The following is a 15,040-nucleotide window of genomic DNA, read 5'->3' on the forward strand; positions in this document are numbered from 1 at the left end:
TCAGGTGGGACTCAAGACCTGGGCAATATGTCCATCCTGGTAACTACACCCATGGGGGCTTAACTTTTAGTGTAGAGGGTCTTTGGTGAAATAACTAACTGGCAGATGAATGGGCCCTTGCTAAGACTAAAAACCAAAGCTTGCTTCCTCTTGGAGCAAAAGCATTTTAGCCGACATGATGTAAGACTGTAGCCAAGCTGAAACAATGAAAAGCAGAGGAAACTTCCTTCCCTATGAAACAGGTAACAAAACACAGTGACACCAGCAGCCCTCTCATCCCATTTATTAAAGAAACAGTAAGAAAAGATACAATGCAGGAAAACCACCAACCATCCTTGCACACCAGGCCGAACAAAGCACAGTGATTTCTTCCCTTCATCCCCCACCCCCACCCTAATTCCCATATTCCCATCCACATCAGTTTAAATTTTGAGGTTCTTTGATTGATTGGGAGTACCAGTGAAGAGGGAGTTGGATGAGTAGAGGGGCCTTAAATCTGGCCACCTCTAAGTCCCAGGAGAAGGGAGCTGCAGGCCCAGTCAGTCAAGCAGAAACTGCATTCGGTGGGTCTTTCTTTGAAGTGGTTGTCCATCTCCCTGTTCTGTGTTCAAGCCCCCAGGGAAAGGTATGGCAGTAGAGGATGACCAGGTCCAAGCTGCCCAGGTCAGAGCTACGGAAGCATGGTCCGTTCACCAACGCCACGTTTCTAGAGAGCAGTGAGCTGATTCTCCAATGGTGAGCAGGGGACTACATGTGAACTGGGACCTGCAGGCCAATGTATCCCTGAGGAAAAGTCCACAAGAACAATTCAAGAAACTAGTAAGAAACAATGGGCAGAAAGCTGTGGGACGAAAGCACAGCAGGCTTCTGGGAGGCTGGAGATCCTTTCTCTCAAGGGCAGGATTATTCCCACCTGCCACAGTTCACATGCCACAAATAACATCTCACCTTCAGTCAAGAAAAACGCAAAGGAAAAAGATGGCTCATTTGAACTTGAGCCCAAGCTATGTTCTTCAGACTGTAGCTCCACAACTACCCTTTTACCTAAGACAGCCCCTGCCAAGAACCACAGTGCCTAGAAACCAAGGTGGTCCTGGAGGGAAAATGGTGTTTAAGGGGGCAACATTCCATTTGGGTACATTGCAGCCATTGGACCCCCTGGTCTGGGGAAAGCAGCTGGGTTTGTGCCAGGGAGGCTCCCCACTCTAGGAAATGGGACGAAACTCTTGCCTGCAGGGCCATTCATCCTTGGAAAGGAAGCTGGGTTGAGACCCAGGGTCCCAGTTGGCCTTGTGAAAGGAGCTGGGTTGATACCCACAGGGCCAGCTGGAGAAGGGCCCAGATGCCCGGCAGCTGGCCTGGGGAAAGTAACTTGACCAGGGCCTAATGGGCCAGTAGACCTTGGGAAGGTAGTTGGACTTGGACCCTGCAGGCCAGTGGCCCTTGGGAAGTTAGCTGGGTTGGGGCCAAGTGGCCCAGAGGCTCTTGGGAAAATGGTTGGATTTGAGCCCTGGAGGCCAGCGGACCTTTGGAAGGTAGCTGGGTTTGATGCCAATGTGCCAGAAGACTGAGAAAAGGCAGATGAACCTGCTCCCCTGGGAAAGGGATTGGCATTTACCCCCATGGGGCCAACTGGCCTTGAGAAATGAGCTGAATTAGGGCCTATGGGGCCAGGAGCCCTTGACATGGGAGATGGATTTGGCCCTGGAAGGCCAATTCCCCGAGAGCTAGGACCCGAGTTTGGGCCCATGGGGCCAGGTACTCTTGCCATGGAGGATGGGCTTGTGCCCATGTTTCCAGAAGCCTGTGAGAAAGAAGCTGAATTTGCTCCTAAAAGACCTGCTGCTCTTAGAATGGGGGCAAGATCGAGGCCTTGAGGTCCAGCCATTCTTAAGTTAAGACCAGATCCTGTGCCCAAGAGGCCACCTGCTCTGGCATCTAGATTAGGGCCTGGGCCCAGGCCACTTGGTCTTGGGTTGGGCCCAAGGCCTGGGCCTGGAAACACACCTGACCTGGGGGCAGGGTTTGTCCCTAAAAAGCCTGATCTCAGATTGGGGTTTGGTCCTGGGCCCAGGCCAACTGGCCTAGGATTGGGAGGACCATTCCCAGAGGTTAACAGAACACCGGCTCTCAGGTTAGGTCCAGATCCAGGGCCCATGGGACCACCACCTCTGGGGTCAGGACCTGCTCCCAGGAGACCACCTGCCCTTGGGTTGGACATAGGACCTGGTCCTGGGAGACCCCCTAACCTGGGGTTAGACAGAGGCCCTGGGCCTGGCAGAGCCCCTGTCCTAGGGTTTAGGGTGGGGCCTGGGCCTGGGCCTGGCCCCAAGAGGCCACCAGGCCTTGGGAAAGAAACTGCACCTGTGCCAGTGGGATTCATCCCTCTTGGAAAAGAAGCCATACTTGGGTCACGAGCACCAGCCGGGAAAGGTGCTGGATTTGAAGCCAATGAGCCTGATGAAGCTGGAAAAGGAGATGGGTTCCTTGGAAATGGGGTCAGATTTCCACCAAGAGAACCGGCCGCCATAAGGAAGGGATCCGAGTTCACACCCAGTGGGTGGCCTGTGTTCAGAACAGGACCCCCCTGTGGTCCCAGGGAACCGTCGAGCCGTCCTCGAGGTGGCAGCGGAGCACGAGTCCAAGGAGTTGGCCGCTCTCTAGGGAAAATCCGAGGTTCTTTCATACTTTCTTGGGGACGCTGGTGATAATGGGCTTGGGGCGGGTTTTGAAAAGGATCTTGTCTTTGATGAGTGCTGTCACCAGGTACCGGGTGCCAGTCTCGCGGCCAAGCTCATCACAGTCCTGATCCCCAGGAGTGTGTTTGACAAGGACTGCAAAAGGTTTCTCCAGGTGGATGATTTTCCCATACAGGATATGATGCCCCACGATCAGCACAGGGATTCCCTTTGGCAGAACAAGAACGAGATTCCTGAGGTTCCGGGGCAAGGCCATAACACTCAGGCGCCTCCTAAAGCTGCTCTTGGCAGGCTATGCTGGCACCTCCAATCCCTGGTCTGGCTCTGCCATTGTTGAGCAGCCACACTGGACCACCCACCCATGTGCCCTTTTTACTTTCTAGCCCCACATAGGAGAATTTCCACTTTCAGAAATGTGAGCTTTCCAGATTCCCCAAAATTAAATTTCCCTGCTACTGCAGAGGTAGGGGGAGAACAAGCAGAGAGCATCGCAGATTAGCTAGGCCTTGAATAACAAACCTGAGGCAGTCCTCACTCTGGGTCCTGGGAGCACCACCTTGGTGTAGCTTGCTTTCCTGAGGCATTAGGCAGGGAAAGAAAAGCCCCCTCACCTCAGTGGTGTAATGTAGGTCTCCCAGGAGGTTTCCAGCTAATCCAGTGCTGTAGCGAGCCTCGATCTCCCCCTGTAGCTCCATCAGCACCCATTCTGCCAGGCCTCCAGCCCTCGCACTGCAAGCAAAGGGCTGGCGGTTACAATATTTTTGAGGGGTGAAGGATGAATAGTGTCCTCACACCACCATTTGAGGCCCAAAGGACCTCTTTGTTGGATGTCAAGTTCTTGGGAAATTGGGCAGTGCTAGGCATGGAACTAGAGATCAGAATGCAAGGATTTGTACAAGATGCACCTAAGGACCCTGATTCTTCCAGACACATGGCACACCTCTATAGCCCTCATCATTTCAAGCCAAATTTTAAAATCTCAAAATGTACTTACCTGGAAATAACAATTTGCACCATGAGCTTTCTGTCTTTAAAAAGCAAGTGAAAACAAGCTGTAGAGAGAAAAAAAGAGATTTAGGGTAATAACAACAACAACTAATAATGACACCTAATGCAACCTCCACCTCCCGGGTTCAATCGATTCTCCTGCCTCAGCCTCCCGAGTAGCTGGGAATACAGGCACCCACCACTATGGCCAGCTAACTTTTTGTATTTTTAGTAGAGATGGGGTTTTTTTTTTTTTTGAGACGGAGTCTCACTCTGTCACCCAGGTTGGAGTGCAATGGCACGATCTCAGCTCACTGCAAGCTCCGCCTCCGGGGTTCATGCCATTCTCCTGCCTCAGCCTCCCGAGTAGCTGGGACTACAGGTGCCCGCCACCACGGCCGGCTAATTTTTTTTGTATTTTTAGTAGAGATGGGGTTTCACCATGTTAGCCAGGATGGTCTCGATCTCCTGACCTCGTGATCCACCCACCTTGGCCTCCCAAAGTGCTGGGATTACAGGTGTGAGCCACCGCGCCCGGCCCTAGAGATGGGGTTTCACCATGTTGGCCAGGCTGGTCTTGAACTCCTGACCTCGTGATTCACCCGCCTCAGCCTCCCAAAGTGCTGGGATTACAGGTGTGAGCCACCATGCCTGGCCGACAACTAATATTTATTACTTACTGTGTGCTAGGTACTTTTCTAAGTCCTTTAGACACATTTTATCTTGTTCCTCTAACAATGCCCTAAGTGGGAATTGTTCTTTTACCAATATTGTACATATGAGATAGGGTTGCTTAAAATCACCAATGGTCAACTGTATGTGCAAAACTAATTAAGATCACATAGCTACTAAGGAAAAGATGATATGAACCGAAGACATACATTGCAAAGACCATACTCTTGCTCACTATGCTGATGTGCCTTTCTTAAGGATATTCTTTTTTTTTTTTTTTTCTTTTTCTTGAGACCAAGTTTCACTTTGTCACCAAATCTGGAGCGCAGTGGCGCCATCTCGGCTCACTGCAACCTCTGCTTCCCGGGTTCAAGTGATTCTCCTGCCTCAGCCTCTTGAGTAGCTGGGATTACAGGTGCATGTCACCATACCCAGCTAATTTTTTTTTTTTTTTTTTTGGGAGGGAGTCTCACTGTGTCACCCAGGCTGGAGTGCAGTGGCATGATCTCAGGTCACTGCAACCTCTGCCTTCCAGGTTCAAGTGATTCTCGTGCTTCAGCCTCCCGAGCAGCTGGGATTACAGGCACACAACCACCATGCCTGGCTAATTTTTGTATTTTTAGTAGAGACGAGGTTTCTTCATGTTGGCCAGGCTGGTCTCGAACTCCTGACTTCAGGTTGGCCACCCACTTTGGCCTCCCAAAGTGCTGGGATTACAGGCGTGAACCACCGCACCTGGCTTAATTTTTGTTATTTTTAGTAGAGATGGGGTTTCACCATGTTAGCCAGGCTGGTCTCAAACTCCTGACCTCAGGTGATCCACCCACCTCAGCCTCCCAAAGTGCTGGGATTACAGGCATTAGCCACCACACCCGGCCTTGATCTCTTGACCTCATGATCCGCCCACCTTGGCCTCTCAAAGTGCTGGGATTATAGGCTTGAGCCACTGCACCCGGCCTCTTACTTTTTTCTTCTTTTGAGACAGGGTCTCACTCTGCTGCCCAAGATGGAGTGAGCAAAATCATAGCTCACTGAGGCCTTTACTGCCCGGGCTTAAGTGATCCTCCTACCTCAGCTTCTCAAAGTGTTGGGATTACAGATGTGAGGCACTGTGCCCAGCCTAGGGTAGTCTATTTCCTACTCTGCATGTTTCTTAAAAAAGCCTATGGAGTTTCTTAAGATTTTACTTTTTTCTTTGGTAATGATGTAAGCTTCAAGTCTACCTCCTTGGTTATCAAGGTTCAAAGGGTCTCCCTTTAAAAATAAAGCCAAGGGGGCCAGGCGCGGTGTCTCAGGCCTGTGTTCCCAGCACTTTGGGAGGCTGAGGCGGTGGGTCACTTGATGTCAGGAGTTCGAGACCACCCTGGCCAACACGGTGAAACCCAGTCTCTACTAAAAATACAAAAATTAGCTGGGTGTGGTGGCAGGCACCCATAATCCCAGCTATTCGGCAGGCTGAGGTAAGAGAATCACTTGAACCCTGGGAGGCAAAGGTTACGGTGAGCCAAGATTGCTCCACCCTGGGCGACAGAGTGAGACTGTCTCAAAAAATCAATCAATCAATCAATAAATCCAAGGGAACTGAGAAAGTCCTCCAACATCTTTAGTGAATGGTAAGCTGACTTCTGATGTGATTCTTATCAAAAGCTTTCACCACCTTTCACTTAGATATGAAAATATCTTAGATAATTAGATAACAGACTTTGGCCGGGAGCAGTAGCTCACGCCTGCAATTCCAGAACTTTGGGAGACCAAAGTGGGTGGATCACCTGAGGTCAGGAGTTTGAGACCAGCCTGGCCAACATGATGAAACCCCATCTCTACTAAAAAAAAAAAAAAAAAAAAAACAAAAAATTAGCTGGGTGTGGTGGCGCACGCCTGCAGTTCCAGCTACTTGGGAGGCTGAGGCATGAGACTCAGTGGAACCTGGGAGATAAAGGTTGCAGTGAGCTGAGATCACACCACTGCACTCCAGTCTACACAGAAGAGCAAGACTCTGTCTCAAAGGGGAAAAAAAAAAAAAGGATAATATGCTTTCATTTTATACAACAGCAGCACCACCTGGTGGCAAACTTGGAGTACTTTGTAAGAACTGGACATTTTTGCCTAAAGACAATTGGCTTCACTTTCTGTGATGCATAGATTCATGGGGGGCTGATAGGATCGGGGATAAAACTACAGCTTCTGGCTAAGTACTGTCAATGTATTATGCAGTTTAGTGGAAGGTTATTAGTTCAATGTTTACCACCTGTAGTATGGAAAGTTAATAGGTATTATAATTGTGCTCAAGCTTAGCAAACACCCGATTAAAATGTTAAACAGATTTTTTTTTTGTTTTTTTGAGATGGACTCTCACTCTGTTGCCCAGGCTGGAGTGCAGTGGCATGATCTCGGCTCACCACAACCTTCACCTTCCAGCTTCAAGTGATTCTCTTGCCTCAGCCTCCTGAGTAGCTGGGATTACAGGCGCCCGCCACCACGCCAGGCTGGTCTCGAACTTCTGACCTGAGGTGATCCACCCGCCTCAGCCTCCCAAAGTACTGTGTTTACAGGAGTGAGCCACCACCCCCAGCCGATTTCTTTAAGAGACAGGTCTTACTATGTTGCCCAGGTTGGTTCCAAACTCCTGAGCTCCAGGGATCCTCCCACATCAGCCTCCCAAAGTGGTGGGATTACAGGCGTGAGACACTGTGCAAGCTTGAGATTTCTTTACTGGTATGTTAATCTTCCTTTTGGATCTGCAGCCTTATAGTATGACTCTACTCCTAGAGCACCAAACACTTTGGGAACATGAAATTGGTCAACTCACTAGACTTTTTTTGAGACAGAGTTTCGCTCCTGTTGCCCAGGCTGGAGTGCAATGGCGCGATCTCGGCTCACCGCAACCTCCACCTCCCGAATTCAAGCAATTCTCATGCCTCAGCCTCCCGAGTAGCTAGGATTATAGGCATGTGCCACCATGCCCGGCTAATTTTGTATTTTTAATAGAGACGGGGCTTCTCCATGTTGGTCAGGCTGGTCTCGAACTCCCAACCTCAGGTGATACGCCCGCGTTGCCCTCCAAAAGTACTGAGATTACAGGCTTGAGTCATTGCGCCCGGCCAACTCACTAGACTTTTTAAATTCAAATATAAGTAGCAGCTAACATGTTTTGAATTTTTACTGTGGAATTTTTACTGTGCATATATATTGGTGGTTTCTCATTCAACCATCATCACAAGTCTATGATATAGGTATTTATTCCTATTTTGCAGATCAGGCTACTGAGGCACACACAGATGAAGTCACTTGCTTGTATGTTGGACACACACAGCTGCTATGTGACAGAGTAGAAATCTGGGCCATCTGACTATCTACACTCATAATCACTACACAATTCTGCCTTCCCAAAGGAAAAAAAGTATTAATGAGAACGAAAAAGAATCAAGGCATCAGGCAGGCATGGAGTATATGCAATAGCTGGTCAGAAGGGCAATATGGAATCAAGAGAGCATCCTTGAATTGAGTCAGACCTTCTGCACCAGCACAGATTGTGGGACCACTGGAAAAGGGGTAATACCCAAGCTCAGAACCCAAACATTTCCAAAAGAGGCCCCACCACTACTCTCAACAGAACTAAAAGCACTTTAAAAATCCTTTTATAAGGTTTCTTGAAGAAGGATAACAATTTAAAATCAGAAGGCCTAAATTTAGCTCTCCTGCCTGTAAGTGTGGACCTCTTTACTGTGTAGTCAAGAACAAGTCACTTTGTGACTATGACACCTAGATTATGTCCTATGAAACTATTGCAAAGACCAAATATAACATCTGCTGAGGTGCTTTAAAGACCCCAAGTTCTATTGAGATGAACTAAGTTTTTTGAGACAGTGAGATAAGAAAATCAGCATTCTGACCCATAATTTTGACAATTTAAGGAATGGTACATTTTAGCCACGAATCAAAAAAAGGCTCAATAATGCACACAGAGAAGGGGCTCTTGCAAATATGCTTTTGAAGATGATGTAGTATATTTTCCTGGATGGGTACAAGTGACAGTAAAATACAGGTGGTTTTAGAGAAGCAATAAGGTGTTCACATAGGTACACGGTATATTCTAGGAAGATCAAGGCAGGGAAGGAGACAGAGCCTACTTCCTGACAACCAAAATCAATCGTTAAGCACTGTGACCATGTGCTTGAGAAAAATGCCGAAATATTTTCAGTGCATTCTCCATTTCCTGGACAGTCTCCTGTTCTGAACAGGAATTCAGAACAATGGTGTCGAAAACACATTTGGTTGCTGGGATGGCACAGCTGTACTTGCATACCAATCCCCCATGCCTCAATAACAATGCACACCTTTACACACTGATGCAGGAGGCTCTGCCTGTGTACATCTATGGCATTACCAGACATCTAGCAATGCTCCTGCAAATAGTTCTGTGGCCCACAGGCCTCAGCATCTTACCACCATGCTCAGTCAGGCTGGTAAAAACTTGTCTTATCCTAGAACTATTGGGATGCTGCAGATGTATGTAGAAATGAAGTTCGAGCCCAGCTTCTAAGAGTTTAGTTCACAGGAACTTACAGACTGCTCTGGCTACAGTTAGGTAATTTATACGCACGTGGGTGTATTTACTACTAGTCAGGAACGTAGAGGAGGGCATCCTTTAGTGAATTTTAAAATTCTACTTTAGCACCTTAAAATATCCTGTAACACCTGAATTCTGTTATTTCTTTTCTTGCTCCTTGAGATTCTACTCCACACAACTGTTTCTAGGGCACAGTAGGTAGGGATTCCTGAGTACTCCCCTGAGGACACACCTGATGGAGGTGGCAGGGAGTATATATTTCATTCAGTGTAGAATTGATTAAAAAGTGTATGAGGCCGGGCGCGGTGGCTCATGCCTGTAATCTCAGCACTTTGGGAGGCCAAGGTGGGCAGATAACCTGAAGTCAGGAGTTTGAGGCCAACATAGTGAAACCCCATCTCTACCAAAAATACAAAAATTAGCCGCGCGTGGTGGCGGGTGCCTGTAATCCCAGCTACTCGGGAGGCTGAGACAGGAGAATTGCTTGAACCTGGGAGGCGGAGGCTGCAGTGAGCTGAGATTGCGCCACCACACTCCAGCCTGGGCAACAAAGAGCAAAACTCCGTCTCAAAAAAAAAAAAAAGCATATGAGAACATGCAACCCAATGTGCCCCCATCCCCTTGAGAGTAGACAGAGTGAGTAGAAAAAAGAGGTGGGGAAGAAGTACAATACAAATAAATCCCTATTAGAAATCACAAGCATAACAATGGAAATTATCTGTATAAGAAGAATATGTCTAAGTCTTCAGTCTCAATTCATTCCAGCAACACTGAAAGACGACTAGAGCAATTTCTAGTTGTTTGTTCTAAGATGGGGCTTGTTTAGAAATTGCAGCTCTATCAAGAGCATCTGAAGGCACGATTTGATGAATACGCTATACATGAAGTCAAGAAACTAAAAGAGAGTCAGTGGAAGAGCTCTCCCGGCAACTTTTTTTTTTTTTTTTTTTTTTTTGTGAGACAGTGTCTCCCTCTGTTGCCCAGGCTGGAGTGCAGTGGCTCGATCTCAGCTCATTGCAACCTCTGTCTCCCAGGTTCAAGTGATTCTCCTGCCTCAGCCTCCCAAGTAGCTGGGACTACAGGCGCCCGCCACCACACCCGGCAACTTTTTGTATTTTTAGTAGAGACAGGGTTTCACCATCTTGGCCAGGCTAGTCTCGAACTCCTGACCTCAAGTGATCTGCCCACCTTGGCCTTCCAAAGTGTTGGGATTACAGGCGTGAACCACCGTGCCCGGCCAAATTTCTCTTTCTTCTTTTTTTGAGACAGAGTCTCACTCTGTCACTCAGGCTGGAGTGCAGTGGCGCAATCTCGGCTCACTGCAACCTCCGCTGCCCAGGATCAGGGGATTCTCCTGCCTCAGCCTCCCGAGTAACTGGAATTACAGGCACCTGCCACCGCGCCTTGCTGATTTTTGTATTTTTAGTAGAGATGGGGTTTCACCCTATTAGTCAGGCTGGTCTTGAACTCCTGACCTCATGATCCACCCGCCTCGGCCTCCCAAAGTGCCAGGATTACAGGCGTGAACCACAGCGCCCGGCTAACTATCTCTTAAGAGCAGAGTTCAACCCCAGATTTGGCTAGGACTAACATGTCTTTCGTTAGGAACAATAATTCTAGGTTGACAAGGTTAACTGCAGAGCCAGGGAGAGACTTCTGTGATGTAGCTTTTCAAAAAGATTTAAATTCATTATATTACAGTGTGGTATCAGACTCACAGGCCACAACTCATGTGTAGCCTTGGAAAGATAAGAAGGTATAAAGAAAACCAAACCTTTCCCTGCAATAAATTATGTATCCTGTCCCCAATCTCATGAGGAGGGAAAAAAGTTTTCTACTTGATCTTTATGGGCCTTCACGCAGCTAAATGAACTAAACAATACATAAATTCTGTATTCCTAAGTTAGTCAAACGACTTTATCTCAGTAAAGGAAACTTTTTTCCCCTCAAAAAGGCACCAGCATTCAAAGAATCAATCCTGACCCACAATGGGAACCCTACCCAAAACTAAAAAGCTTTGGCTGTAATCAGACCACTCTAGAATATACCTTATTTAACCAGCATTTGGCTTCTCTCTCTCTTTTGAAATTAGTAACTATTATTATAAAAAACCCGCCAGGCACGGTGGCTCACGTCTATAATCCCAGCACTTTGGGAGCCCAAGGCGGGTAGATCATGAAGTCATGAGTTCGAAATCAGCTTGACCAACATGGTGAAACCCAGTTTCTACGAAAAATACAAAAATTAGCCAGGCATGGTGGCGCTCACCTGTAATCCCAGCTACTCAGGAGGCTGAGGCAGGAAAATCGCTTGATCCTGGGAGGCGGTAGTTACAGTGAGCCGAGACTGTGCCACTGCACTCTAGCCTGGGTGACAGAGCAAGATTCCATCTCAAAAAACAGACAAACTGAAACAAAACAAAAAAAAAACTGGCAAATCAAAGCACCACCATGATTTCTTAAGAAAAGCCCAGGCAGAGGCCGGGTGCGGTGGCTCACACCTGTAATCCCAGCACTTTGGGAGGCCGAGGCGGGCAGATCACGAGGTCAGGAGATCGAGATCATCCTGGATAACACAGTGAAACCCCCTCTCCAGTAAAAATACAAAAAATTAGCCGGGCGTGGTGGCAGGTGCCTGTAGTCCTAGCTACTCAGGAGGCTGAGGCAGGAGAATGGCGTGAACCCAGGAGGCAGAGGTTGCAGTGAGCCGACATCACGCCACTGCACTCCAGCCTAGGCAACAGAGCGAGACTCCGTCACAAAAAAAAAAAAAAAAAAAAAGGAAGAAAAGTAAAGTCCAGGCAGAACATTATTTTTATAATACAAAAGGCTTCATTTCTCACAAGCTAGCCTCGTTCACTTATCTGTATCCTCTTATTTCACCCTGACACCCTATGCTTTTAGCAAGGTCTTCTCACTCCCATTTCACAAATGAGGAAACAGGCTTAGAGGAGCTAAATGTTAACTGGTCACACAGCTACTTAAGTGGAGAGCTGGGATATGAACCCTAACCCCTCCACAATCTGGCCCCTCTTGCAGTTCTCCTCACACAGCCCCCTCCTGTAAAGCACCTCTGTATGATAACTTCCCTTGCTTTACAAATATTAGCCTCGTTCTCACAGCATCTCTTACAAAATGGCAAAGTAACCTATGGAAAGACCTTGTAACTTGCCACCAAAGTATTATATCTGTGGGGTAGGCAGCTAAAAACAAAGAAGCAGCTTGCTTTTTATCATACCCAATTGAGATGTTTCAGTTTTTGAAACTTTTAGAAAAATCTACTCAATGCCACCTCTAGGACGCAAAGCTTTACCCTCTGCTCCTGAATGTGAAAGTCAAGAGAATAGAGGACATTCTTTGTCAAGTATTCATTTTAATCTTCCACAGAATTTAATTCTTACCCTCTGGTCTCTGAATTGTTAAATATTAAATTGTTAAAAGATTACTGTCTTACAGAGAACAGAACAGCCTGAGCAATGATCCTCATAATCCTTCAAAATAAAATGTGGCAGAAGAAAGTGTGATATGTATCCAATTAAACCGAACATATGGCTTATAGCAAAAAAGAGGCTTTGACTCAACGGTTTAACCTCAATACAAATAACTAAATTTTAATAAAGCTAAACAACGTTTTAGAAATTTTGTTTTTTTTTCAAACAGGAAACCAAGCCTTTAAATTCTCAACCCTTAAACATTCTTTTCTAAACTGGGGTGAAATCAATTATTTCAGAGTGTAAATATTCACAATTTTCTATTTTTTGCTAGGCCAACAGTTGGCATTTATTGAGCTTTTGTTTTTTGATCCCAGGGTGGATACTTTGTTTACGAATATAGTGAAGCACTCACTTGTCATACAGACCTGGATTCTGTGATTTTGCCACCTATCCCATATGTGACAGTGGGTAGTTTAACCTCACGTGTTTTCCTAACAATACACTGGGCATAAACACCTATTTTGAAAGGCTGTTGCAAGAACGAGTAATGAATGTAAAGCTTTTAGCACATTGTCTGACACATGGTAAGCCTTCAGGGTCAAGCTATCGATTTCCCAGAGAAAGGTGGCATTTTCTTAGTATTCATCAAATAGAATGTCTTAATACTACACTGTGTTAGCATATTAATGTTTATAACGGACTAAAGCATTCTACGAAAGCAGCAGGTCATCAGAATAAAATCAAGTTTTCATAACAGTAGAATTCAAACATGGCAGTTGTGGTTCACCAAACTGCTTCAGGGATTAAGTTCTGGAAGGTAATTTCTCTAAATATGATGACTATGTCTCTATGTGCCTTTCTACCAAGTGAACAACTCAGAACGTTTTACATACAACCGAATACAGATTATTTTTATTTGTAGTGTTATCGTGGTTTTGTAACTGAAGGGGACAGGTCTATACTTTTGAAGGGGATCTTGTCTCTTGAAAGGCTTATGTTACTAAGTCTAAAATCCTGTTTCCAAATGAGAATCTTGCTCCCCTCCAAAAAGGGGCTTATGGAGGGTTGGTGGAATTGAATGCTTCCAAACTTTACATTAGTGAAGTGTGTTCAAAAACGTGTGTGGATGCTATGCATACACGTGATACTTCCCATCACATTTTAGGATTCCCACGTTGGAGGGAATCAATTACTGGTATTTGTAGCAATGGGTGGAAAAGATGGCTTCAGTCGATCTGAGTTACTGCAGTTTTCTCCATCTTCTGCTACTCTGCAGCCCCATCTTAGCCTGTCCTCCTCTTAATGGTACGGCCCCCTGTACTCCCCCAAACCCTTTCCTTTCTAGCCCGGCGTAGAGTCTCCCTCTGTGCTCTTCCTCCCACCCACCCCCATCTTCTCCACCCACTCCCTCTCGGCCCCCTCCCACCCTTTCTGCTAGAGCTACAAACACTTCCTATTTCTAGTCCCACCCACTTTCTGGGACTTCTCAATCCGCTTCCCCCCTCTTCTCCACCCCCCTCCAAATTACAAGCTGTTTTAACCCCTTTTCCTGCCTCCCAGGGAAACTATTCTTTAAACCGCCTTCCTCCACACCACCCACTGGAGTGGTCTTCCAAACCGTTCACCCTCTTCCCAAAGATTACTCTTTAAACGTCCTTTCTCTACCACCCTCGTTCTCCAAATTGTTCCCGGTTCTCAAGTACTCCACTCCTCCAGGACCCCACCCCACTCGTCTCTCGGCTTCCCTCCCACAAAAGAACCTGGAATGACTCTCCAACCACCCTTCCAATTACCTCTCCCAGAAGCCTCCCCCCTCCACGATTACAAATGTTACCTGGAACAAAACCTCACGGTCCTAACCCCCACCCCGAACTCCCCTTTCTGCTCTTCCCGCTACTTCCTAGGTTCCAGTTCTACTCCGCTCCCGCAAGCATAGCGGGCTGGGCTCCCTCCCAACCCCGGGAAGAGCCCCTTCCCGCACGTACCTCGAGATTCCGGCCCTCGCCGCCCCCTTCTCCGTCCTCCGCCCGCGCTCGGCCACCCTTTCCGCCCTTCTCCCGCTCCGCCCCGCTCGCTCCCTTCCTTCCCTCCGCCTTCCGTCTCCACACCGCTCCCTTCCCCCACACTCCTGGCCCTCCCACCCCGGAGGCCCCTCCGGGCTTGCCCCCACCTCCGCGCCGCCCTCCCGCCGCCCTCCCCCTTCCCGGCCACCCCTCCCCCGCCCGCGCTCCCCGCCCCTCGGCTCGCCATTCTTCTCTCCGAGCCGCGCGCCCCGCCCGGCCCCGGCTCCCTAGCTTCCCGCTCCCTCGCGCCCTCGCCCCCAATCCCGGCTCGGCCCTCGCTCCCCGCAGCCTCCCGTGCCCCCCGCCCGCGGCCTGACCTGCAATGGCGGCCGCCGAGCGCGGCGCCGCGCGGCCAACGGGCGACAACCGAACCTCCCGCCGCCGTCGCCGCCGCCGCGAGCACTGCCTGCGCACTTCCGACTATGCGCCAGGAGCACTTCCGGGGCAGAGCCTGAGAGCGCGCGCGCACGTGGGGCCGGGGCGGAGAGAGGCGAGCACCGGGAAGGGGAGCGTGGGGCCGCTGGTGAGTTGGGGAAGGGGCGTGGGAAGCGGCTGCGAGAGCTGGGGGGGTCTTACAAGGTGGCCGGCCCAGGGTCGGCGTCCGGCTGAGCTCCTT

At 48.4% G+C, this 15,040-nt stretch overlaps 4 protein-coding genes across 13 annotated transcripts in view, besides 2 other annotated features; 2 read left to right on the forward strand and 2 right to left on the reverse strand.

Annotated features, from left to right (window-relative positions):
* Nucleotides 1–977, forward strand: part of HAS3 (hyaluronan synthase 3) — a 35,236-nt gene extending 34,259 nt beyond the window's left edge. The window contains exon 4 of the mRNA NM_138612.3: nt 613–977. Within this exon, the coding sequence (NP_619515.1) occupies nt 613–720 (108 nt within the window). The 3' untranslated portion in view covers nt 721–977. The remainder of the gene's footprint in view (nt 1–612) is intronic.
* DERPC (DERPC proline and glycine rich nuclear protein) lies at nt 268–14,846 on the reverse strand. Of its 7 annotated transcripts, NM_001366602.2 has the most exons (5): nt 14,742–14,846; nt 3,694–3,751; nt 3,311–3,428; nt 2,365–2,907; nt 268–783 (listed from the first exon to the last, which is right to left on the reverse strand). In NM_001366602.2, exons 4-5 carry the CDS (start codon nt 2,684–2,686, stop codon nt 707–709), a joined length of 399 nt encoding a protein of 132 aa, NP_001353531.1. In that variant the 5' UTR covers nt 2,687–2,907; nt 3,311–3,428; nt 3,694–3,751; nt 14,742–14,846; the 3' UTR covers nt 268–706. The 7 variants fall into 7 exon arrangements, with proteins under 7 accessions (NP_001353531.1, NP_001353535.1, NP_001353534.1 ...); NM_001366606.2 differs by lacking the exon at nt 3,311–3,428; NM_001366605.2 differs by lacking the exons at nt 3,311–3,428; nt 14,742–14,846 and adding an exon at nt 14,347–14,417.
* CHTF8 (chromosome transmission fidelity factor 8) lies at nt 268–14,846 on the reverse strand. 2 transcript variants are annotated; one of them, NM_001039690.5, is made up of 4 exons: nt 14,742–14,846; nt 3,694–3,751; nt 3,311–3,428; nt 268–2,907 (listed from the first exon to the last, which is right to left on the reverse strand). In NM_001039690.5, the coding sequence occupies exons 2-4, from the start codon at nt 3,714–3,716 to the stop codon at nt 2,683–2,685; spliced, it is 366 nt and encodes a 121-aa protein (NP_001034779.1). In that variant the 5' UTR covers nt 3,717–3,751; nt 14,742–14,846; the 3' UTR covers nt 268–2,682. The 2 variants fall into 2 exon arrangements, with proteins under 2 accessions (NP_001034779.1, NP_001035236.1); NM_001040146.5 differs by lacking the exon at nt 14,742–14,846 and adding an exon at nt 14,347–14,417.
* Nucleotides 14,426–14,575: a silencer, noted in NCBI's record as "silent region_7652". NCBI's record gives its function as "represses an Ori minimal core promoter by ATAC-STARR-seq in GM12878 lymphoblastoid cells {active_cell/tissue: GM12878}" and the evidence as "EXISTENCE:reporter gene assay evidence [ECO:0000049][PMID:35858748]".
* Nucleotides 14,596–14,955: a silencer, noted in NCBI's record as "silent region_7653". NCBI's record gives its function as "represses an Ori minimal core promoter by ATAC-STARR-seq in GM12878 lymphoblastoid cells {active_cell/tissue: GM12878}" and the evidence as "EXISTENCE:reporter gene assay evidence [ECO:0000049][PMID:35858748]".
* The window catches only part of UTP4 (UTP4 small subunit processome component), a 36,373-nt gene continuing 36,239 nt past the window's right edge, over nt 14,907–15,040 (forward strand). For all 3 annotated transcript variants that reach the window (NM_032830.3, NM_001318391.2, XM_047434817.1), the window contains exon 1: nt 14,907–14,947. The gene's annotated coding sequence lies outside the window, so the exon portion shown is untranslated. The remainder of the gene's footprint in view (nt 14,948–15,040) is intronic.

The sequence above is a fragment of the Homo sapiens genome, chromosome 16 (assembly GCF_000001405.40).
Source record: "Homo sapiens chromosome 16, GRCh38.p14 Primary Assembly".
Taxonomy (NCBI): domain Eukaryota; kingdom Metazoa; phylum Chordata; class Mammalia; order Primates; family Hominidae; genus Homo; species Homo sapiens.